Here is a 25,642-nt window from a genome sequence, read left to right as displayed (position 1 = left end):
TCACCCTGTGTTATTTATTTGAAACGTGTTTAGTAATTGGAGTCAGGTTGTGCTTAATAATTGGAGTCAGGTCGGTTTAGAAATCTTATATACAGGGAAATTCTAGTGCGTTTAGAGAGTGTGGAGAGATTACAAATGTCAGGTTAAAACATCATAACTGCCAGGCACGGTGGCTCACGCCTGTAATCCCAGCACTTTGGGAGTCTGAGGTGGGCAGATCACCTGAGGTCAGGAGTTCGAGACCAGCCTCAACATGGAGAAACCCTGTCTGTACTAAAAATACAAAAAATTAGCCGGGTGTGGTGGTGCATGCCTGTAATCCCAGCTACTCGGGAGGCTGAGGCAAGAGAATTGCTTGAACCTGGGAGCCTGAGGTTGCGGTGAGCCGAGATCGTGCCATTGCACTCCAGCCTGGGCGACAAGAGCGAAACTCCATCTCAAAAAAAAAAAAAAAAAAAAAAACCATCATAACTACTTTTTCTCCTAGAACCATGGGTTGATTCTTAACCACTCAAACAAATAAACTTTCCTACATTGAGTGATTCATGTGCTAAAAAACATAACGTTCATGTCATTTGTCTTAGTTTGGACTCCTCAAGAGAGTGATTTGGGTTCAAATGATTTATTTGGGAGATGGTGCCAGGAAGCATGGTGAGAAAGAGAAGTGAGACCGGGAAAGGAACAAAGTTGACAAAGGATATGGTGATTCAGGGTGACCACTGTGGATAACTAGGGCTTAAGACCACTGAGGATCTGCAAGAGACTGCATAGAACATGCCTCGAAAGTGTCCAGCTGACGAGCAAGGCAGCTGGGGTATTTATTCACCAGTTCCTGTTCTTTTTGAGACAGGGTCTCACTTTGTTGCCCAGCAAGTGCAGCGGCACGATCACTGCTCACTGCAGCCTCAACCTCCTGGGCTCAAGCAATCCTCCCACCTCAGCCTCCCAAGTAGCTGGGACTACAGGCACAGGTCACCACACCCAGAATATTTATTTATTTATTTATTTACTTACTTATTTATTGTAGAGATGAGGGTCTCTCTATGTTGCCCAGGCTGGTCTTGAATTTCTGGCCTCAAGTGATCCTACTGCCTTGGCCTCCCAAAGTGCTGGAATTACAAGCATGAGCCACTGCCTCTGGCCTCATCCTTCATTTTTGAGGACTGTTCAGGGGAAATAACCCTCCAGCACTCCCAACTCCTCAAAGGTGGGCCAGCATCCCCAGAGAGCTCCCACAGGTGGGGAGATACAGGAAGCGCTGCTTGCAGGGAAATGTCTACAGGTGATCTCGGGGTTAGCCTAAAGAGAGAAGCAGGGTGCCCACCGCATGTGCTGAAGCCCCATGGCCACACTTTTCACATTCAACAAATCCTTGTAGGAGTCCCTCTGTGCCAGGCCCTGTCTTGGGCACTGAAGCTGCAGAGACAAGAGACCAACACAAGCCTGGCCCTCGTGACATTACACTTGGGCTGACCCCTCTTTCTGCACCCCATTGAGAAAGAAGAACGGATCATGATGTTCTCACAATGGCAACCCATGTTGGTTGAGTGAAGTGACATGAAGCATTTGGAAGCTGAAAGACTCATTTTTTTTTTAGATGAGACTAACATGGACCTATGCCTGGCATTTTATTTAACAGATATGTGTATAAGGTTAAAGGTTCAATTAAAAAAAAAAGATGAAGAAGAGAAGAGGGGCTCCCGGAAAAGGGCAGAAGGAACACAGTAGATGCATAGAAGGCATGCATCATGATAGGAAGTGCAGCTTTTTTTTTTCTTCTTTGCAGACATTGCAAGATTTTGCAAATTGTAAGGAAAGCTGGTGACAACGGTGTTGATAAAAGCAATAGCTACCAGGCGCTTTGAACACATGATGTCATTTGATTCACATGACAACCCTGATGGTTGGGAACTGTTAACTCCATTTTACAGACAGGGAAACTGGGACTCAGAGAGGTGCAGTGACTTGATCAAAGACATGGCTGGCTTAAAGTTCAAGTCTTTCTAAATCCGAAGTCTTGAATCTTTTCACCAAGTCAAATAGTGAAGAAGAGTGAAAAAAGGAAGAGGAGATGGCTAGGAGCAGGAGACAGAGGAAGATGAAGGGAATGAGAGGAATAAGGGCAGAAAGGGAGAAGCTGTAGGGAGGGAGCCACCTATTACCTAACGAGTGTCTTCACCCCATCTAGGAAAAAGCACCCCTCTGGACCCTGGAAGCCCCCTAAGCTCGGCCACAGTTGAATCGTGGATGTAAAGGAAAGGACACTCCTCCCTGGTGATGGCTGAAGCTCTTAGCAGGGTGAGCAGCTTGGCAAGACGAGTGACAGCTGGCTTTCAGGTGTTCTTTCCCTCCTCACTTGGCAACATTGAGAAGGGATGTGAATCAGAAGAGAAAAAAAAAGCACGGTTTGAAGGTTCAACAGGAAGCAGGAGAGTTCCTCATAGGGTCTGTTTTTGGAGCTCCCACAAGCAGAATCATGAAGTCTCTCAGTGTCTGGAAGTGACAGGAGAGCATTTTTGGCGCAAGAATTTGGCAGAGAGGAACCAGACAGCCTCTTACCATTCACACTTCTATCTTCCATCCTTCTTATTCATCTACCCTTCCATCCACCCACTCATTCATGCTTCCCTCTCCTACCACCCATCCAGGCATGTATCCAGTCCATTCATTTATTCAATTACTCAAAATAGTCTTGGAACCCAGTCTGTGCAAGACACTGTTGGATTCTGGAGACCCAGAGGTGACTCAGTTAAGATCCCTGTCCTCTAAGAGCTGACAGTCTGGTGGGGGAGAGAGACATAGTCAAGAATGACTCCAAGAGAAAATGCAAATCATGAGGACCTTCAAAGAGATGCAAACCATAGACAGTAGAAGCAAAGGAGAGGAGTAAGGCGGAGGAGAAAGAAGAGGAGGAGGAGAAAGGGAGGAAGAAAAAGAACAAGGAGAAGGGAGGAAGAAGGAGAAGGAGGGGGAGGAAAGGGAGGAAGAGGAGGAAGAGGGGAGGAAGAAGGAGAAAGAGAGGAAGAAGGAGAATGATCACACATATATATCACACTCTTAGAGGAATCATATGAGGGCAGGAAGATATGGGAGAACTATATGAAGGAGGTAACGTCTGGACTGGGCTTTGAAGAATAAGTAGGATTTATTAGGGAAATTCAAATCAAAACTACAATGGGGCCTGGGTGCGGTGGCTCATGCTTGTAATCCCAACACTTTGGGAGGCCGAGGTGGGCGGATCACTTGAGGTCAGGAGTTCAAGACCAGCCTGTTAAACATAGTGAAACCCTGTCTCTACTAAAAATACAAAAATTAGCCGGGCATGGTGGTAGGCACCAGTAATCCCCGCTACTCAGGAGGCTGAGACAGGAGAATCACTTGAACCCAGGAGGCAGAGGTTGCAGTGAACCGAGGCTGCACCATTGCACTCCAGCCTGGGTGACAAGAGTGAAACTCTGTCAAAACAAAACAAAATAAAACAAAAACCCACAACGACCCACTAGGATGGCTCACACCCATTAGAATGGCTACTATCAAAAAAAAAAAAAAAAACTCAAAATGAAACAAAACAGAAAATAACAAGTGTTGGCAAGGATGTGGCACACTGGTGCACTATTGGTGGGAATGTGAAATGGTGTAGCCATCATGGAAAAGAGTACAGCAGTTCCTCAGAAAACTAATAATAGAATATCATAGGATCCAGCAACTCCACTTCTTGCTATGTACCCAAAAGAATTGAAAGCAGGGTCTCAAAAAGATATCTGTATACTCATGTTCACAGCAGTATTATTCACAAAACGAAAATATGAAAACAACCCAAGCATCCATCAACAGTTGAATGGCTAAACAAAATGTAGCATATACATACAATGGTATATTCTTCAGCCTTAAAAATGAAGGGAGCCAGGCACGGTGCTTCATGCCTGTAGTCCTAGCACTTTGGGAGGCCAAAGTGGTTGGATTGTTTAAGCCCAGGAGTTTGAGACCAGCCTGGCCAACATGGTGAAACCCTTTCTCTAGGAATAATGCAAAAACTAGCCAGGCATGAAGGTGCACACCTGTAGTCCCAGCTACTTGGGAGGCTGAGGTGGGAGGATCACTGGAGCCTAAGATGTCAAGGCTGCAGTGAGCTGTGATCACACCACTGCACTCCAGCTTCGGTGAGACTGAGACCTTGTCTCAAAAAATAACAATAAAAATAAAAATGAAGGAACCCCTGACCCATGCTACAACATGGGTGAACTTGGAGGATATTCTGCTATGGGAAACAGCCAGTCGCAAAAAAACAAATACAGTATGATCCTACTTACATGAGGTTCCTAGAGTACTCGAATTTATAGGGACAGAAAGTAAAATGGCGGCTGCCAGGGACTACGGGAGAGGAGAATGGGGAATTGTTTAGTGTTGACAGAGGGATCACTTTTGCAAAATGAAAACAGGTTCAGTTTTGCAAGACATCGGTTGCACCACAATGTGAACGTACTTAACGCTACTGAACTATACACTTAAAAAATGGTTAAGATGGTAAATTTTATGTTATGTATATTTTACCAAAATAAAAAAAAGAATGGGCAGGATTTAGACATATGGAGATGAGGAAGAAGTAAATTCCAGGCAGAGAGAACGTGTTGAGAAAGTCATGGAGGTGAGCAAGATAAAACCAAGAGGCGGGGAGAGAAAGGCTCCATTTGCCTGCAGCATAGAAAAGAAGAAAGAGGCTTGGATAAGACACAGCTTCCTTAACGACCTGGTGGGCGACAGAAAGAGAACTCAGATGGAATTGAGGAGAATGCATGTATAGGATGGATGACTTAATGAAGAAGACATAGCATCCACCACTTCTCAGAGACCCAGCAAGGCACCACCTGGAGCCCTGATCAAGTCATCTCTATTTTCTAATGTGCAAGATGGAGATGATGAGACCTGCCTTGTGAGGCTATTTGTGAACATCAATGGTGATTATGGCTGGGAAAGGGCTTTTTTTTTTTTTTTTTTTCAGACGGAGTCTTGCTCTGATGCCCAGGCTAGAGTGCAGTGGCGTGATCTCGGCTCACTGCAAGCTCCGCCTCCTGGGTTCACACCATTCTCCTGCCTCAGCCTCCTGAGTAGCTGGGACTACAGGCGCCCGCCACCACGCACGGCTAATTTTTAGTATTTTTAGTAGAGACAGGGTTTCACCGTGTTAGCCAGGATGGTCTCGATCTCGTGACCTCGTGATCCACCTGCCTCGGCCTCCCAAAATGCTGGGATTACAGACGTGAGCCACCGCGCCCGGCCAGGAAAGGGCTTTTTATGCCAGAAAGTCCTCAAGAAGAATAGCCATTGCTATTACTGTGTAGAACAGCTGAGCCCAAAGCAGAAATTAGAATCTGGTTGGTTGTGGAACTGCTAAGCTGGTCATCTTTAGCATGAGTTAGAAATTGTGGAAGTTTTAGTATTGGGTTCATGATTGTCGAAAAGAAGTTATTTTGTTTGTTTTTGGTTTTGTTTTTGTTTTTTGAGACAGTCTTGCTCTGTCACCCAGGCTGGAGAGCAGTGGCGCGATCTTGGCTCACTGGAAACTTCACCTCCCAGGTTCAAGCAATTCTGCCTCAACCTCCCAGGTAGCTGTGATTACAGGCACCCACCACCATGCCTGGTTAATTTTTTGTATTTTTAGTAGAGACGGGGTTTCGCCATATTGACCAGGCTGGTCGCAAACTCCTGACTTCAGGTGATCCACCCACCTCAGTCTCCCAAAGTGCTGGCATTACAGGTGTGAGCCACCATGCCTGGCCAGATGAAGTTATTTTGGATGTAGAAGAGCCTAGAGAAGGGAGTGTGGTGGTACAAAGACCTCATGGTGAAAGCGATGGTTTTGAGTCATGCATTAGTCAGCTATTGACTGCATAACAAACAGTTCCCAAACTCAATGGCAAATAAGAAGTACTTGCTTTTTACTCATGAGCCTGTGGCTGTGCTATGGGATTTTCTGGGGTTGGCTGGGTTTGGCTCCAGGCTTCAGGTCAGGTTCAAGTCAGCTCCACATGACTCTCATTTTGGGGGCAGCAGCTACCCTGAGCATGCTCTTTTCATGACCACTGTAAGATGCCCAAGAGGCCAAGCAAACGACACAAGTACTTTTAAAGCTCTGGGTGCATCATGACTGCTAACCTTTCCTTGGCTGAAGCAGGTCACAGGGCCAAATCCTAAATCAGGTGGCGATGGACACTGCCTGCTCTACTGGGAGGCACTGCAAAGTCATGTGGCAAAGGGTGTGATTGTGTAATCCGATTACACACAGAGGGAGTGAAGAGTTAGGAGCAACCATCCTGTTTTCTACAGATGTCTATGGGAGAGAGATAGGCCCAGAGGCTGAAGGAACTGGAATTGGATAGATCCAGGCCCAAGAGGCTGAAGGAACTGGAATTGGATAGATCCAGGCCCAAGAGGCTGAAGGAACTGGGATTCAGATAGATCCAACGAGGCCCTAGGCCCAGGTAGTGCTGCTTCTGGGCCCATCAGACAAAGAGTAACCCAGGCCCGGGAGTGGTCGCTCACGCCTGTAATCCCAGCACTTTGGGAGGCCAAGGCAGGAGGATCACAAGGTCAGGAGTTCAAGACCAGCCTGACCAACATAGTGAAACCCCGTCTCTACTAAAAATACAAAAGATTAGCCAGGCATGGTGATGGGTACCTGTAATCTCAGCTACTCAGGAGGCTGAGGAAGGAGAATCACTTCAATGTGCGAGGCAGAGGTTGCAGTGAACCGAGACCGCACCACTGCACTCCAGCCTGGGCGACAGTGTGAGACTCTGTCTCAAAAAAAAAAAAAAAAGAGATGGGGAAGGGGGAATCTTACCCCCCTACCTCTGGCTCCCATTTCTCCCCTACAGATTAGAGGGCATTTTGGACATCTTCAGGGGACAGCCAAGGACAATCTTGCTGTGCCTGGCAGCTGAGTGGGCATGACGAGGACCTCTATATTCTGTAATCTCTTGTTTCACCGTCTCGTTTAACCGTCATTATTCCCTGAGATAAATATCATTACTTCCACTTTGCAGAAGAGGAAATGGAGACAGGCAATTATCAAATGGCTTGCCAAAGTCACTGTGCTAGTTAGTGGCACTACAAGGGTACCAGGCAAACTCAATTAGTTGAATCAATCCCCTGTTTCGACCCTCAGCAGGGTTAGGCAAGTCTCTTAAGCTCTCTGTATCTCAGATTCACCGTCCATAAAATAAGGATTAATTTAACTCCCTTACTATAAGTACTTATTAATACAACTACCTTCTAAGCTGTAGCACCTGACATAGGGTAAGTACCCAACATATATTGACTAGTATATGGTCCATGTCGTGTCAGCATTTTTATTATAAATATGCACTTTATCTTTCGAAACGACTTTTTGGGGATATATTTTACATATCATAAAATTCGCACACTTCTAATATGCAATCCAATGGCTTTAGTAACTTTACCTAGCAGTATAACCATCATCATAAATCAGTTTTAGAACATTTTTATCCCTCCTTAAGTTCCCTCTGGCCTGTTGGCTGTTAATCTCCATTCCCACCACCTCCAGCTATGCATGACCACTAATCTGCGTCCGGTCTCTATGGATTTGCCAATTCCGGACATTTCCTAGAAATGGAATCACACAATATGTGGCCTGTTGTATCTGGCATCTTTCTAAAGGCTTGTGCCTGCCATAGCATGAGTCAGTGGTTTGTTCCCATTAATTGCTGAGTAATATTCCATTGTGCGGATATAACAAGTTTTGTCTATCCCCATTCACCAGTTGATGGGCGATTTAGATTGTTTCTGGTTCGGGGCTATTATGAGCAATGCTGCTAAGAATGTTCATGAGTTAGTCTTTTTGTGAACATGTCTTCACTCCTCTTGGGTAGAAGCCACGCCTCAGAGAGGACTTGGTGGGTTGTATGGTAGTTTTATGTTTTTTGAGAAACTGCCAACTTGCTTTCCAAAGTGGCTGCTTCAGTTTATACATTCCCCCGAGTAATGCACAAGGGTCCCTGCCTCTCCACAACCTCCCTAATATTGTGGGTCTTATTTGTTTTTGTTTTTGTTTTTTTTTGAGACGGAGTTTCAATCTTGTCGCCCAGACTGGAGTGCAATGGCACGATCTCGGCTCACTGCAAGCTCTGCCTCCCAGGTTCAAGCGATTCTACTTCCTCAGCCTCCCAAGTAGCTGGGATTACAGGCGCTCGCCACCAGACCCACCTAAATTTTGTATTTTTAGTAGAGACAAGGTTTCACCGTGTTGGCAAGGCTGGTCTCAAACTCCTGACCTCAAGTGATCCGCCTGCCTCGACCTCCCAAAGTGCTGGGATTGCAGGCTTGAGCTACCATGCCTGTTTTATTTATTATACCATTCTAGTGGGTGTGCAATATCTCACAGTGGTTTTTTTGTTGCCGTTGTTTTGTTTTTTGAGACAGAGTCTCGCTCTATTGCCCAGGCCAGAGTGCAGTGGCACGACTCTCGGCTCACTGTAGCCTCCACCCTCTGGGTTCAAGCAATTCTCCTGCCTCAACCTACTGAGTAGCTGGGATTACAGGTGCTCGGCACCATGCCCAACTAATTTTTGTATTTTTAATAGAGAGGGGGTTTCACCATGTTGGCTAGGCTGGTCTCGAATTCCTGGCCTCAAGTGATCTGCCCACCTCAACATCCCAAATTGTTGGGATTACAGGCGTGAGCCACCACGCCCAGCCTCTCATGGTGGTTTTAATTTGCATTTCTCTAATGACAAATGATGTTGAGCATCTTCTCATATACTTAGCAGTTGCATTTTACTTTTATAATGAGGAAAATATACATACATAAAATAAGAGGTCAAATGAGTAACCATCCCTCTCTAATGAGTGACAGCTCTCCTTGCCCTTTCCCCGCCTCCTCCTCCCTACCTCACCGCAAATGGGCAAACACCCCCATCCGTCTGGGGCAGGAGGAGGGAACAATACCAGCACCTGTTCCACAGCAAAGGGACCCTGGAGGCTGGGGCTGCTGAATATAATGGGACCCTCTGCCCTGCCCCAGACCATCTCTTCCTGCTGGGCATCTGCCCAGGGTCACCCAGAGGGGGCCTGGGGCATGTCAACTTGGAAGGTCACAGAAAGGCATGAACCCCAGGGACCACTGTGGGGTGCCAGATGGAGGGTCTGGCCCACCTGCCTCCCTCCCTCCATTCAGGGCTGGCACATGAGGTTGGCTCAGCCCACAGCTGCCTGAACTCCACCTGGGCTGCAGGCCCCAGCATGCAGGCACTCACAGGAGAACTGAATATGGGATGGTGAAGGCAGGGTCTTTCCCCGGTCTCCAAAAGGATGCCTGGCATTGGCCAGTGCCTCACCCCTCCCCTACCTGTGCAGGTGTGTGCAGCCCATGGTGTGTGGTAAAGTACCAGACTCCACAGCAGACCCCAGCACTTGACCCTGAGGACACAGAGAGGAAGGACACCCCATCTCTGTCCTCAAGAAGCCCTCGGCCAGGCACGGTGGTTCATGCCTGTAATCCCAGCACTTTGGGAAGCCAAGGCGGGCAGATCACAAGGTCGGGAGATCGAGACCATCATAGCTAACATGGTGAAACCCCATCTCTACTAAAAATACAAAAAATTAGCCAGGCGTGGTGGTGGTCGCCTGTAGTCCCAGCTACTCAGGAGGCTGAGGCAGGAGAATGGCGTGAACCCGGGAGGCAGAGCTTGCAGTGAGCCGAGATCGCGCCACTGCACTCCAGCCTGGGTGACAGAGCGAGAATCTGTCTCAGAAAAAAAAAAAAACACACACACACACACACACAGAAAAAGAAACCCTCACAGGCCGGAGCGACAAGTGCTATGACAAGATGTGCAAGGGGCCTGGGATGCCTGGCAGTAGCCTGAGCGGCAGGTCATTGCAGGCCCTCACATGCTGGGTGAGAGACCTAAATTGTTTCTGATCCTCCCAGTAGCCTTGTGAGGTGGGTCCGGCAGGTGTTATCTTAACCAGCCTGCACTTAACCAACTCGCTGGACCAATGGCTGCCCTCCATCCCCCTGCCAAGGCACACGGATGCTGCCCAGAAATGCTGATGGCTTAAGCTTCTAGAGCATTCTCGACCCTGCCCAAGCTCTCCTCCCACTGACTCAGCTGTCAGCTGCCAGAATCAGGAAAGTCTGTACTCAAAAAGCTTTGGCTAATTTGTGTCTATTGTCGTAATTATAGTTAGCTAAACAAACAAAAAGTAATGAAATCTGACTGCAAAAGAAAGTAATGTTTTGAGAAAAACTAAATCTAATGCTTTGGAAATATGCAATAAAGACGCATTGCTAAAAATAAATCTGTTGATTTAGTTTTGGGAGAGATTTGGGGTGGGAGGGGGATAATAACAATGTAGAATTCCAGATTCAAACTGCTTTGCCAGTGTCCTCGCATTCCACTTACAAATCATTTTAAAAAGGACTGAAAATCGTCAGCAAGGCCAATGGGTACAGTCAAAACAAACAAGGCAGAACTCCAGCCAGAAGACCTGAACTCAAAGCAGCAGCTTTGGCCTACACAGATTGTTTCATGTTATATCAAACAGTTAAGGTATTTGTGAATCTATTTTTAAGATTCTCTCTTTTTTTTTTTTTTTTTTTGAGATGGACTCTTGCTCTGTCGCCCAGGCTGGAGTGCAGTGGTGCGATCTCTGCTCACTGCAACCTCTGCCTCCTGGGTTCAAGCGATTCTCCCACCTCAGCCTCCCGGGTAGCTAGGATTACAGGCATCTGCCACCAGGCCGGGCTAATTTTTGTATTTTTAGTAGAGATGGGGTTTCACCATGTTGGCCAGGCTGGTCTTGAACTCCTGACCTCAAGTGATCCTCTCACCTCAGCCTCCCAAAGTGATGGGATTACAGGCGTGAGCCATGCACCCTGCTACCTTTTCTGCCAACCTTTTGATTACCTGACCAAGGACTTGGAACCAATCAGGTTCGCTGAGAGGTTTCTAGTGGGTCATTACGCCCTATTTATTTACTTATTTATTTATTTATTTATTTATTCATTTACTTATTTATTTTGATATGGAGTCTCATTCTGTCTCCAAGGCTGGAGTGCAGTGTCACAATCTTGGCTCATTGCAACCTCTGCCTTCCAGATTCAAGTGATTCTCCTGCCTCAGCCTCCTGAGTAGCTGGGATTACAGGCATGGGCCACCACACCCAGCTAATTTTTTTTGTAATTTTTAGTAGAGATGGGGTCATTTCAGCCCAGAAATGACCCCACCTCACCTGCCCTCCTGGCCCAGGAGGGCAAGAGGTGGTCACCCCTGCCAGATCCTAAGGAGGGGCCCATGTTGGCCAGGATGGTCTCAAACTCCTGACCTCAGATGACAGCCACCTTGGCCTCCCAAAGTGCTGGGATTACAGGCGTGAGCCACTGTGCCGGGCCTCATTATTCCCATTTTACAGATGAGAATAAGGCTGAGAGAGACCAAGTGTCTTGGCCAAGGTCACATAGCTGAGAAGTCCTGGTGTCGAACCCCGGCCTGGGTGGCTCCTGAGCCAGGGTCTTCCTGCCCCAGTAGTGGCCACTAATAGTGCATTTATGAGTGTGAGCCTGAGACTGAGTGTGAGGGTGTGCCAGTCATGTGGTGACTGAGAGTGTCTGCGGTGACTGCATGAGAGTATGTATGAGTTTGGGGGTTGGGGGTTGCGTATGAGGCTCCGAAGCCAGTCCTGGTCCCTCCAGCATGGCCGCCATCCCCATGGCCCTATGGCATCTGCTCTGTGTAGAGACAGGTCTAAATAACCCTGTGGGAGGAGCTGCAGAGATCTGGGGTCCAAGGAGGAGGCTTGTGCGTAGACAAGCAGGGGCAGGAAGACCCTGGCTCAGGAGCCACCGAGGCCGGGTTTCAACACCAGGACTTCTTAGCTATGTGATCTTGGACAAGACACTTGGTCTCTCTCAAGTGTGCATAGACAAATAGGGCACAGCCCAGAAATGACCCCACGTCACCTGCCCTCCTGGCCCAAGACAGTAAGAGGTGGTCAGCCTGCCTAAGAGGGGCCCAGCCACATTGGCAATCTCAGACCCTGTTCCCTCCTCAGCCCCCAAAAGGCTGTCCACGTGGGCCCCCCAGACATTTCCATCCTTCCAGGTGGCAGCCTCACCCTTTCCCAGAGGGCAGTGGGTCTGTATTGTGTCTAAGATTCCTGCAATTTGGGGCCCCTGAGTCCTGCAATTCTTCCCTAGAACATGAAGGACCCAGGGCAAATTTGGATGGTGCTTGGGGAAAGGCAGGCAGGCTTGAACTCACCACCGCCCACTTGTGGCCTGGGAGACATGGGCGCTTGTCCTCTCCAAGGCTCAGCCTCCCCATCTGTGAAATGGGAGTGGCAACACTGGCCTTATGAAAGGCAGGAAAGGCTCACACTCAGGGCTACCTGGGTTCAAACCTTCATTCTGACATTTGCTAGCTGTGTGAACTTGTGCAAGTGGCTCACCCTCTCTGTGCTTTAGTTTTTCTCATCCACAAAATGGGGAACTAATAGTATCTACTTCTTAAGGTGCCTATGAGGGTTAAATGAGTTCATATATGTGAAATCCTTAGGAGATGCATGCCCATAGGAGGTGGAAGTGCTCTGTGTGTTTATTACTCTTTCCTTATTATTATTATTTTTTACCTTGCAGGGTTCGAGTGAGCATGACACGGAATGGAATCATCAGTGTCTGATGGAGCCCAGGACATCTTGGCTGCCCCTTCCAGCCTAGGGGAGAAGGGAGGGAAGACACAGTAAGGACAGACCCAGGAACCTCCCAGTCACTGTGCCAGCCTCTACACATGCGTCCCTCCCGCAGGCTCGGTGTCATCGGCTGAGTGTGTGTTTTGCATCTCGTGTCTCCTTTAGTCTAACAGCAGCGTGGGAAGGCAAAGAGGAGCCTCATCCCCATCTTCCAGATGAGGTAACTGAGGGCTTCCAGGGTCTTTCTGCCCCCAGGAGGTTGAAGTGAAAAAGCATTCAAGTCAGAAAGACCCTGAGCGCTCCTCGCTTTGCAGCCCGGGAAGGTTTCCCTCTTCCTTGAGACCGTGGGGTGGGTCTCTGAGCCCTGCTGGAGAAGGGCTTGGAGACTGCATGGAACCTCAGACAGAAAACGTGCTGTGATTGCTGAGCGATGCCTTCCACGGATGCAGGAGCGTGACGTGGCAATGTGTGACTTTGGTCAACCTGTTTCCAGTCATCTGCCTGACCAAGTGCGTGGCTTAGAGACGGGAGCCACTTGCTTATGGTCCCAAAGGAGACAGTGTTCGGCAAGGGAAGACCCTGCCCGGCCCAGCTCTCTCCCCGCCTGACCCTGCATCGTTTCTGCTTTCTTAACTCGGTGCCTCTGCCATCGATGGTCCTGGCTGCTAGGAAGCCAGTCATTCAGAGGGGACTGAGGAGTTGGTCAAGAGGCAGCCCCTGGCCTTGCCTCTGCCCCCATGGCCTCTCACTGTAATATTTGTGTTATCCAGGAAACTCAAGAGCTGCACCAGGAAGAGGTAGGAAGAAAGCAGGCCTTTGGTACACCATCTAGCTGCACTCCTCACCCACGGTCTCCGGGTGCAGACCCAACAAGGCTGCTCCCACCTCGCCCGGGGCAGCACGTGAGTTCATACAGCAGACACCAGCAAGACCGCCAGAGCCAGCAGGAACACGGGAAACACACACAGATGCACACACCCATTGAGCAAATATTGGAAATTCACTTTTGTACACAGATACCTATATGGTCACAGATACATATAGTAACAGAGAATCCAGAGAATAGAGTGTAACAAATGTCCATGCACCCACCACTCGAGTCAATACATGTTAACAATTTGTTAGTTGTGTTTTAGACATTTTTAAATAAAAGAAACAGATGTTGAAGATTTTTTTTTCCTTGAGACAGAACCCCCCGCTGCTGCCCAGGCTGGAGGCTGGCGTGCCATGGTGCAGTCTCAGCTCACTGTAACCTCTGCCTCCCAGGTTCAAGTGATTCTCCTGCCTCAGCCTCCTGAATAGCTGGGACTACAGGCGCACGCCACCACACCTGGCTAATTTTTGTATTTTTAGTAGAGATGGGGTTTCACCATGTTGGCCAGGCTGGTCTCGAACTCCTGACCTCAGGTGATCCGCCCTCCTCAGCCTCCCAAAGTGCTGGAATTACAGACGTGAGCCACCTTGCCCGGCTGAAGATATTTTAATTGAAATCCTTTTCATCCCCCTCCGTTTCATTTCCCTTCTCTACACAGAGGCAGAGCCAGAGGCTGGAGTGCCATAATGCGATCATGGCTCACTGCAGCCTCAATCTCCTGGGCTCAAGAGATCCTTCTGCCTCAGCTTCCCAAATGCTGGGACCACAGGCACATACCACAATGCCTGCTAATTTTTTAATTTTTTGTAGAGACAGGAGTCTCGCTATGTTGCCCAGGCTAAACTTGAACTCCTGGGCTCAAGCAATCCTCCCACCTTCGCCATCCAAAGTGCTGGGATTACAGGCGTGAGCCACTGCACTCAGCCTCTAAGTTCATTAAAACCATAAACAATATATAGTACTGCTATTTGTATGCTTTAAAATTTTAAATAAATAGTGTCTGATATGGTTAGGTTTTGTGTCCTCACCCAAATCTCGGTTTGAAGTGTAATTCCCATAATCCCCACATGTCCAGGGAAAGACCAGGTGGAGATAATTGAATCGTGGGAGTGTTTCCCCCATGTTGTTCTCATGATAGTGAATGAGTGATCATGAGATCCAATGGCTTTATAAGGGGCTCTTCCTGCATCACTCGACACTTCTCCTTCCTGCTGCCTTGTGAAGAAGGTGCCTTGCTTCTCCTGTGCCTTCCGCCATGACTGTAAGTTCCCTGAGGCCTCCCCCAGACATGTGGAACTGTGAGCCAATTAAACCTCTTTCCTTTATAAGTTGCCCAGTCTTGAGTATTTCCTTACAGCAATATGAGAACAGTCAAATACAGTGTCATATTATAACCTTTCAACTTACTTTTGTATTTGTTTCTTAGGGATGCTGTAACAGGTATCACAAACCATGTGGCTTCAAATAACAGAAATTTATCCTGCCCCAGTTCTAGGAGCTAGAAGTCTGAAGGCAAGGTGTCACCAGGGCCATGTGCTCTCTGAGACTCTGGGTAAAATCCTTCCTTGCCTCTTCTGACTTCTGTTGATGGCCAACAATCCTCGTCGTCCCTCGGTCCCTCGGCTTGGAGTTGTGTCACTCCAATTCTTGCCTTTGCCATCACATAGCATTCTCCTCTCTGTGTGTGTCCATGTCTAAACATCTCTCTTCTTATGAGGATATCAGTCATATTGGATTAGGGTCTAATCCAATGACCTCCTCTTCACTTGAATACATCTGACAAGACCCTCTTTCCACATAAGGCCACATTCCTAGGTACCTGGAATTAGGACTTTAACATGCCTTTATAGAGGACACAATTCAACCCATAACACTTTTAAAAATCAAAATTATACTTTTAAATAATTAACCAGATTTCAAATAGGTAACTCAATTACAAAACTCAATATGTAGCTCAATTTAGTTTACTGTATGGTGTTCTACTTTATAAATAGATAACACAAGCCAGGGGCGGTGGCTTACGCCTGTAATCCCAGCACTTTGGGAGGCCAAGGCAAGTGGTTCACCTGAGGTCAGCCTGGCCAACATGGTGAAACCTCCTGTCTACTAAAAATATACAAAAATTAGTTGGGTGTGGTGGTGCATGCCTGTAATCCCAGCTACTTGCGATGCTGAGGCAGGAGAATCACTTGAACCTGGGAGGCAGAGGTTGCTGTGAGCTGAGATGACGCCACTGCACCCTAGCCTGGGCTACAGAGTAAAACTCCATCCCAAAAAAAAAGTAAAAATAAAAATAAATAAATAAATAGGTAACAGATTTATTTAATTCCTCTGCCGACAGACATGTGAGTTATTCCAAGTTTAACGTCCACAATGCTTCCTTGACCAATGTGCTAGGGTTTTAGAGTTCATTCTTAGCAGCAGAACTACTAGTCACATGGTGTGCGTATTTCTGACTTTCATAGGTATCGTCAAATTGTAGTATCTTCGAATGTAGTAGTTCAGCTTTCCCAGCATCTTCACCAACTTAATAGTGTCAAACCTTCCAACTTGTGTGAATCTGAGGGGTATAAAATGGAATCTCTTTGTCGTTTTGTGGGGATTTTTTGTTTGTTTTTTTGAGACAGGGTGTCACTCTATTATCTGGGCTAGAGTGCAGTGGCACGGTCTCGGCTCAGTACAGCCTAAACCTCCTGGGCTCAAGTGATCCTCCCACCTCAGACTCCCAAGCAGCTGAAACTACAGGCATCCACCACCATGTCTGGTTAAAATTTAAAATTTTTTTTTTAATTTTTTTGGAGACAGGGTCTCACTATGTTGCCCAGGCTGGTCTCAAACTCCTGGGCTCAAGTGGTCCTTCCACTTCGGCCTCCCAAAGTGTTGGGCCACCTCGCCTGGCCTCTCTTTGTTGTTTAATCATCAACAAAGAGAGGTTAAGCATCTTTGATTCTTATGCTTATTCACTCTCCCTGTTTCCTTTTTTGTGTTCAGGTCTTCTGCCCATTTTTCTATTGGGTTGTTTGTCTTTTTCTTATCGATTTATAGGCGTTCTTTGTATCTTTTGGATGTTAACCCTATATCTGTAATATATGCTGCAAATGCCTTCCCACAGACTATTGTTGGAATTTTAACTTTGCAGGTAGTTTATCTGTTATACAGAAATATTTGATGCGGCTGAGCTTAAACTTCATATTTTCCTTTATGACGCCTAGCTTTTGTGACTTAAGGGCTCCTTCCCTATCCCAAGACATAGGGAAATTTTCCAACTTTTCTTCTGTAAGCTGTTTTTCACATTTAGGTCATTAATTCATCTCAAGTTTATTTTTGTGTGTGATGTGAGACAGGATCTAAGGTTAATTTTTACATAGGGATAGCTACTTTTCTAAACCCCATTTTTGAATAGTCCATGCTTCCCCTCCACAGATTTGTAATGCCTTTTGATCATACACCAAGGTCCCATATAACTTGGATCAATTTCTGGGTTCCCTTTTCTGTTCCATTATTTGTCTATCGCTGTGTTAACAACCAGGATGTGTTTATTATCAAAGCTTTATCATAAATTAGAACATTGGCTGGGCGTGGTGGTTCATGCCTGTAATCCCCAGCACTTTGGGAGGCTGAGGCGGGTAGATCACCTGAGGTCAGGAGTTCGCAACCAGCCTGGCCAACATGATGAAACCCCCCTCTCTACTAAAAATACAAAAAATTAGCTGGTCTTGGTGGCAGGTGCCTGTAATCCCAGCTACCTGGGAGGCCGAGGCATGAGAATCGCTTGAACCCAGGAGGCGGAGGTTGCAGTGAGCCGGGATCGTGCCATTACACTCCAGCCTGGGCAACAAGAGTGAAAATCTGTCTCAATAAATAAATAAATAAATAACTAAGGATATTGGTTTGGGCAAGACCCCTACCTCATTCTATCTCAGATTGGCCTTCACTATTCTTGCCCTTTTATCCTTCTGTGTTAATTTTAGAATCAGCTTAACAAGTTTGATGACAAATCTTATTGGAATTTTAGTTAATTGCACTGATTTTATGAATCAATCGGGAAAAATTAAAGTACATTTGATGATATTGAGTCTTGTTTTCCATGAATATGATACATACCTTCATTTATTCTTGAGTGTGTGTGTTCTTCAATAATACTTTGTATTTTATCCATAGAGTTGTTACACACATTTTGTTAGTTGATTACTGGGCCCTTACACTTTTCATATCATCTTTCTTTCTGTTACATTTACATTTTCTTTTCTTTTTTTGAGACGGAGTCTTGCTCAGTCGCCCAGGCTGGAGTGCAGTGGCTTGATCTCGGCTCACTGCAACCTCCGCCTCCCAGGCTCACGCCATTCTCTTACCTCAGCCTCCCGAGTAGCTGGGACTACAGGCGCCGGCCACCATGCCTGGCTCCTTTTTTTTTTTTTTTTTTTGTATTTTAGTAGAGACGAGGTTTCACCATGTTAGCCAGGATGGTCTCGATCTCCTGACCTCGTGATCCACCCGCCTCTGCCTCCCAAAGTGCTGGGATTACAGCTGTGAGCCACCGCCCCCAGCTACATTTTCTAATTGGTCATTGCTTGTAGCACACTGTGGATTTTCTAGGTTGATTTCATATCCAGCAACCCTAATTTCTTCACTTTATAGTTCCAGACAGAAGGAGAGGGAGTTTTGAATTTGATGAGTTTGCAGCGTCCCAAGGCAGAATGCAGTGTAGACAAGGGATTTAGAGCATGGACGTTGCCATCTGACAGGTAAACCTGGGTTTGAATCCTGGATCTACCACTTACTAGGTGGATAAGTTACTTAACCTCTCTGAATTAATAAGCATTCCCACCCCCAGGCTATTGTGAGGAGTCAGGGAGACAAAATGCATTCTAGTGCCTAGCATGGTGCATCACACAAAGAAAGTTTAATTGATGCTTGTTCCTGTAATTGCTACTAACTGGCTTCTCCTGCATAGCTGGGGAGATCATTATCCATAGTAAAAGAAATCAATGCCTACTTCTACTCATCATTAAGAAGCTATCTGGAGTTGCCAGTAATCAGCAGCTTGATCATGAATTAACACCCATATTGTCTGCCCATTTGGAGCTCACGTTTAAAACCCATTTGTTTTCTTTGTCTATGCCATTTTAATATACACGGCCTCACAATCAACAAATAAATAGCCTGTCATCAGCCATCGATTTGAGAAACCCTGGAAGACCCCTGCCCATCTATTTGGCCCACTCCCCCTATATCCTGAGCCACCAAGTCAGATCAAACCAAACATACCCTTCAAGTAATTCCTCCAGCTATTTGCTCATGATGTGGAACCAGACAAATGGGCAGACAGAAACTTAACTGTATTTATATTGTCAGTAGATTCACTACACCTTCTAGTGTGTTCTAATCACCTGTTTTCACAGGGCCCAAATCCAATATCTCTGAAGCCCAGTATCCAGAAGAGAACTTGACGGTGGGTGAGGTTGAGAAGGGAGAATGGGAAGGCAGGAGGAATGAATCTGGGCTTTCTAAACCACAGCCAATGGAGGACCAGAGAGAACACTGTAGAAGGATTCTGAGCTGGGCACAGTGGCTCACGCCTGTAATCCCTGCACCTTGGGAGGCCGAGGCAGGCGGATCACCTGAGGTCGGGAGTTCGAGACCAGCCTGGCCAACACGGCAAAACCCCGTCTCTACTAAAAATACAAAAATTAGCTAGGCGTGGTGGCAGTTGCCTGTAATCCCAGCTACTTGGGAGGCTGAGGCAGGGAGAATTACTCGAACCTGTGAGGCGGAGGTTACAGTGAGCCAAGATCACGCCATTGCACTCCAGCCTGGGTGACAGAGCGAGACTCCGTCTCAAAAAAATAAATTAATTAAATAAATAAAAGAATTCTGAAGGCTCACATAATGTTTCAAGCCATGACTAAAGCTCATGCATTTTGTTCATAGAAACTGTCCCTGCCCAAAGCTCCGCCTCCCAGGACTGCCTCCCCAAGGGCCAGAGTAATTGCAACAATAGGATCTGGCTTACAGCAGGCCCTCGGTAAATATTGCTGAAAGCCCACTGCATGCCAACCACTACGAGAAGCCCTTTCTAGACATTAGCGCATTGACTTATCCCAACAAACCACAAAGAGGGTGGACATCCCTACAAGGAAACCACAGCAAAGAAGGGCCAGGGCCAAGATAAGGACTCAGAACCATTCTGTGGTTATTGGTTTAGTTTTTGGGGTTTGTTTTTCCCCCAGATGAATGAATGCTACTGTAGACTGATAAGCATTACTCTAGTTTCAGTGAGTAACTTCACTGGCCCTCTGAGCACTGCCGCTGGGTGGCTGAGTCATTTAAACACACTGCTGAGTGTTTTCACCAGACTGAGAAGTATTTGATTGGGCTGCTAAGTGCTTCTGCTCAGCTGCTAGGCATGGGGGCAAGCCCTGAGCTCATTGGGGGTGATTGGATCACCCGGCTGTGCTCAGGACCCTGGCACTGGTATTTCCCTTGGGGAACCCCACTGGCAGAACAACAGCTTCCCAAACTCTGGGCAGCAGCTGCTCCGGCTTCATGAAAAAAACTGAGCCTGGCTCCCCTTGTCTCCCCCCAGCTCCCAGAGAGCCTGAGGCACAGCTGGGGCAAGGCTGGGGGTGGGAGGAGGCCTCTGGGGCCCTGATCCACAGGGTTCACCCTGGCAGAAGCTTTGGGGCTCAGGGACCATCCCCCCATCCTTAAAACCTTCCAGAGTCGGTATTGCCACAGACCGTAATGTAGGGGCTGAAAGAGGAGGCTCCCAAGCAGATGCCCAAAGACATCAGAGGCTCAGAAGCCACTGAGTCCACCATGCACTAGCCCATTGCACAGGTGGTGAGAGTGAGGTCCCCAGTCAGACTCTTTATAGGAGCACCTATCAGATCTGCCCCTTATGATAGCATCCTGGCAGACCTTACCCTCCCTTCCCTGGGAGGGGCCTGAAAGGGCCCAGGTATAGCCCATTCCCTCCCTGCTCCATGCCCAACTTGACCTTCCCCTCAGGAATCCAAGCCACACACTCCAGAAGCTGCCACTGGGGCCCCAGAGAACTCTGGGCTCACCTCCCAAACAACTTTTTGTATGTACTCCTTTTAAAGTTATAAAAAATCTCTCGTTGATTTTTCCAAGTTTCTCTTATAACAAAAGTACTAAGTACAGGCTTTGTTAAATATACACCTCAGCTATGACCCAGCAATTCCACTCCTGGGTATACACCCAAGATGTGAGTGCCACCAAAAGGCCTGACACACATGTTCATAGCAGACTTGTTCATAATGGCCCAAACTGGCAAACTGGAAACAACCCAAATGCCCATCAATAGGAGACCGGATCAATGTTTCGTGACACATTTCTACAATGGAGAACTACACAGCAGTAAAAAAGGAACAAACCACTGATACGTGCAACACCATGGGTGAATCACACCATTATAATGATGCTATCTTTCTGCTCCTTAGCTCAGCTAGGTCCAGGGTCTTGTCTCATGACCAGGAAGAATTAAGCATGCAGACACCAGAGAGTGAGTGGGGTAGAATTTATTAAGTGAAAGGAAAGCTCTCAGCAAAAAGAGGTGACATGAGGGATGGTTCTCCTACCCGAAGGTGGAAAAGTACCCAGTATGGCTGAGCCCAGGGCTTTTTATGGGATCATAACAGGGAATGCATGCTGACTGGTTTTTGAGTATGCAAAAAAGGTTAAAGCAAAGACACCACTCAAAGGTGGGCATGACATTGTAGAAAACCAATTAGGAAAGGGTAGGTAAAATAGGTGAAGGATTAGGATCAATCAGAGGAAAGCATGCCAAATGGAAGGTGGGTTTTCAATCCGGTCTGAGGATTTACCCAGGACTGTCTGTGGCTGGAAGGTCAGGTGTCACTGGAGACCCACCCCTATCTGCCTAGGCATTTGGCTGCCTCCTGTCACTATCAATAACACGAAGTCAAAACTCCAGGCACAAAAGAGCATTTTACTGTATTATTCCATGTCCACGAAGTTCAAGAACAGGCAAAACTATTTCAAGATGATAAAAGACAGGACCATAGTTACCTCTGAGGGCAGATATAGACCAGGAAAAGGTAAAAAGGGACTTCCTGGGGCACTGGAAATGTCTATACTTTGATGTGGGTGTGATTACATGGGTGTACATACACATGTAAAAAATCATCAAACTATACACTCATAAGTACACTTTGCTGTATGCATGTTATATGCCACTTTCAAACATAATTTTGTAAAGTATATATCAGCCAAAACAAAACAAAACGAAATACAAGCTCGCTGTTAGTCAACAAGTACAGAGGCCTTTAAATAAATTCCAGCTCTCCCCACCCCGAACACCAGCCATTTCTCTCTCTTATTCCTGTGTGTCTATCCCCAGCTGCAACCTGGAGAAACTTCAGGCCCTGAGGAGACACCCTGCTGGGGACCTGCTCCCCCCATCAGCCCTCCCCTGCAAGACTTGCCTATCCTGCTGCTGTGACCCCGCCAGGAGAGTTCCAGGGCCTGTGCCGGGGGCTCTGCTGAGCTTAAAGTCCACTCCGGGTCCTGGGAGATGGACCAGGTGGGTTTTCCTGCCTGGAAGTGGCATCACTCAATTGATGGAGGTGGGTGACTCAAGCTCCTGCTCCCCCGCCCACCCCATCTCCTCATTCACCCCTCTGAGTCCCACTTTTCTGTCCCCCTTTCCTGGGTGGTTTCCTCAGGAGGGCTATTAGGAGGAGGAGCTCCTGGGCTTGGCAGGAGGTTCACGTGACACACGTTGTCAATTCTGCCCATTTACACACCTCCTAGGCCATCCAGAGGAGCATTCAGCCATCAAACAGTGAGCAACTGGGCCTTCAGCCTGTCTCAGTCCTTTCCAGGAACCCTCCAGCTTGGGACAAAGCAGAACCATTCTGGGAGCCCACACCCCAAGTTAAGATCACCCAAGAATCCCAAAGAGATGAGGGGAAAATATGAAAGTGAAAGTGTCCCCTGTCCTGTTTTTATACCTCGCATGACAGGGAGCTCACTCTCTGCTAGGGCTGCCTCCCCGCTCCCTAGTTAGTCCTGACCATGAGAATCCTTTGCTCACACAGAGAGGAAATCCAGAGCTTATGGCTGCACCTCTCGCGTGACCACCTCAGCCAGGTTTGGCCAGGGCTTTTCTGACTTTAGCACTAGAAAGTCCAGTATTCCAGGAAAACCCTCAGTCCTGAGCCAACCAGATCAGGTAGTTCCATTATCCCACCCCTGCACCCACACCTAGCTCCACCCTCTGGGTCACTTAAGAAACATCACCTCGGCCGGGAGCGGTGGCTCACGCCTGTAATCCCAGTGCTTTGGGACGCCGATGCAGGTGGATCACCTGAGGTCAAGAGTTCGAGACCAGCCTGGCAAACATGGTGAAACCCCATCTCTACTAAAATACAAAAATAACCCGGGCATGGTGGCGTGTGCCTGTAGTCCCAGCTACTCAGGAAGGTAAGGCAGGAGAATAGCTTGAACCAGGGAGGCGGAGGCTGCAGTGAGCCGAGATCGCACCACCATCCTCCAGCCTGGCAACAAAACAAGACTCTGTCTAAAAAAAAAAAAAAATCATCATCTCGTCAGGGTTTCGTACACAGCAGAGCAGCTCCCTCGCTGCAATCTATTGAAAGTCAGCCCTTGACACAAGGGTTTGTATTTACCAAAAAAAGAAAAAACATAAAGGAATCACCATCTCAGGGCTCCTCTCCATGGCACTTGGACAGGTGCCATGTCCAAGCCTAGCACCACTTCACTCTCCCAGGCCTCACTGTGTACCATTTGTTCATTCATACATTTACTGTATTTATTTGTTCATTCATACATGTACTGTATTAATGGCTATAAAAGCTAACATTTATAGCCATTCAGAATGGCCTAGAGACTTAAAGTCTCAGCCCTGGAGTCAAACCAACCTGGATTCACTTCCTGGCTGTGTGACCTTGCATATGTTACTTAACCTCTCTGAGATTTCACTTGCTCATCTCAAGTTGGAAACAATACACCTCTACCTCATGGGGGTGTTGTATTAAATGAGACAGTGAGTGGGAAGTGCTTACCCTGGGGCCTGGCACTTACTGAGTACTTGGTAAATGTTAGCTTTTATTTAGTATTCATTCATCCAAAACCACATTGATCATGTATTTACTCTATCGGGGCCCTAGTCCAAGCACACAGAAGTAACCCAGACGTGTCACCCCCATGCCCACACACACACACCAGGATGCTCACAGGCTGGTGTGGAGAGCGGAGGTGAACGCAGGCAATTATATATATATCATCATGAGAAGGGCTTGGAGGAGACAAGGTCAAGGGCAGAACTGCCTGGGAAGCTTCCCAGAGTAGATGCTATTTATCTGGGCCTTGCCTGAGAGAAGCTTGGGGGAAGGGTATTCCATGAAGAGGGACTAGCAAGGGGCAATGGCTAGAATGCCTTATACAACATGGCGCACTCAGGAGGTGAGTGACTAACTCAGTACTGCAGGGTCTGGGTTGCACGTAGAGGAGGCCAGAGAAGGAGATGGCCTAGAAAGTTTAGAAAGAGCTTTTCTTTCTTAATAAAATAGGAAAATGTTTAAACACGATAAAATACTGATTTCAACCCAAAAGCCAGCATCATGCTTAAAGACGAAACACTGAAAGCATTCCCATTATGATCAAGAGTAAGAAAGTGTGTCTGTATTTTTTGTTTTGTTTTGTGGTTGGTTTGTTTGTCTGAGACGGAGTCTCGCTGTCATCGGCCTGAGCTGGAGTGCAATGGCGCGATCTTGGCTCACTGCAAACTCCGCCTCTCGGGTTCCAGCAATTCTCCTGCCTCAGCTTCCCGAGTAGCTGGGATTGCAGGCGCCCACCATCACAACCGGCTAATTTTTGTATTTTTTAGTAGAGATGGGGTTTCACCATGTTGGCCAGGCTGGCCTTGAACTCAAGACCTCAGGTGATCCACCCACCTCGGCCTCCTAAAGTGCTGGGATTACAGGCGTGAGCCACCTTGCCTGGCCATCTGTTATTAACACTATTACTTAACATTGTTCTGACAAAGTACCAGCCTACACAATTAGACAAGGAAAAGAAATGAGAAGTATAAGAATTAGAAAGGAGGGGAAAAATGGGTTATTATTTACAGAATCAACTGAAAAGCCATTATACATAATATAAGAGGCCCGGTATGGTAGCTCATGCCTGTAATCCCGGCACTTTGGGAGGCCAAGATGGAAGGATTGCTTAAGGCCTGGAGTTCAAGACCAGCCTGGGTAGCCGGGTGCAGTGGCTCACACCTGTAATCCCAACACTTTGGGAGGCCAAGGTGGGCGGATCACAAGGAGGATCGAGACCATCCTGGCTAACACAGTGAAACCCCATCTCTACTAAAAATACAAAAAAATTAGCTGGGCGTGGTGGCAGCCGCCTGTAGTCCCAGCTGCTGGGGAGGCTGAGGCAGGAGAATGGCATGAACCCAGGAGGCAGAGCTTGCGGTGAGCCGAGATCACACCACTGAACTCCAGCCTGGGCGACAGAGCGAGACTCCGTCTCAAAAAAAAAAAAAAAAAAAAAAAAGACCAGCCTGGGCAATATAGCAAGACCCTATCTCCACAAACAATTAAAAAATTAGCCAGGCATGGTGGTGTATGCCCGTAGTCCCAGCTACTCAGGAGGCTGAGGCAGGAGGATTGCTTGAGCCCATGAGTTCATGGCTGCGGGGATGACCATGAACATTGCACTGCAGCCTGGGCAACAGAGTGAGACCCTGTCTCAAAATACATAATAATACATAATAATAATACAAAAACTCAGTATGGTGGTTGATTGCAAAATTAATATATTGTAATTAATAGTCCTCATCAAGGTAAAGAACCAGTTAGAAGAGATAGTGAAAGAGAAGTTCCTGTTTATGATAGCAGCCAAAAAGGTAAAATATTTAGAAATCAATGTAACAAAAATAAAATGTATGAGATTTACTGGAAGTGAACATTAATAAATTGCTGAGGGGCACAAATGAAAACTTGAGCATGTAAAATGGTATGCGTGTGTTCTGATAAAAACACC

General features: G+C 47.2%; 1 long non-coding RNA gene across 1 annotated transcript in view; it reads right to left on the bottom strand.

The window, feature by feature from the left end:
• LOC107987037 (uncharacterized) overlaps window positions 1-25,642 on the bottom strand; it is a 48,715-nt gene that overhangs the window by 9,651 nt on the left and 13,422 nt on the right. The window contains exon 2 of the long non-coding RNA XR_001746580.2: window positions 12,649-12,732. This is a non-coding gene — a long non-coding RNA (uncharacterized LOC107987037). The remainder of the gene's footprint in view (window positions 1-12,648; window positions 12,733-25,642) is intronic.

This window comes from Homo sapiens, chromosome 9 (genome assembly GCF_000001405.40).
Source record: "Homo sapiens chromosome 9, GRCh38.p14 Primary Assembly".
Lineage (NCBI taxonomy): Eukaryota > Metazoa > Chordata > Mammalia > Primates > Hominidae > Homo > Homo sapiens.
This window is presented reverse-complemented; position numbering and strand designations above follow the sequence as displayed.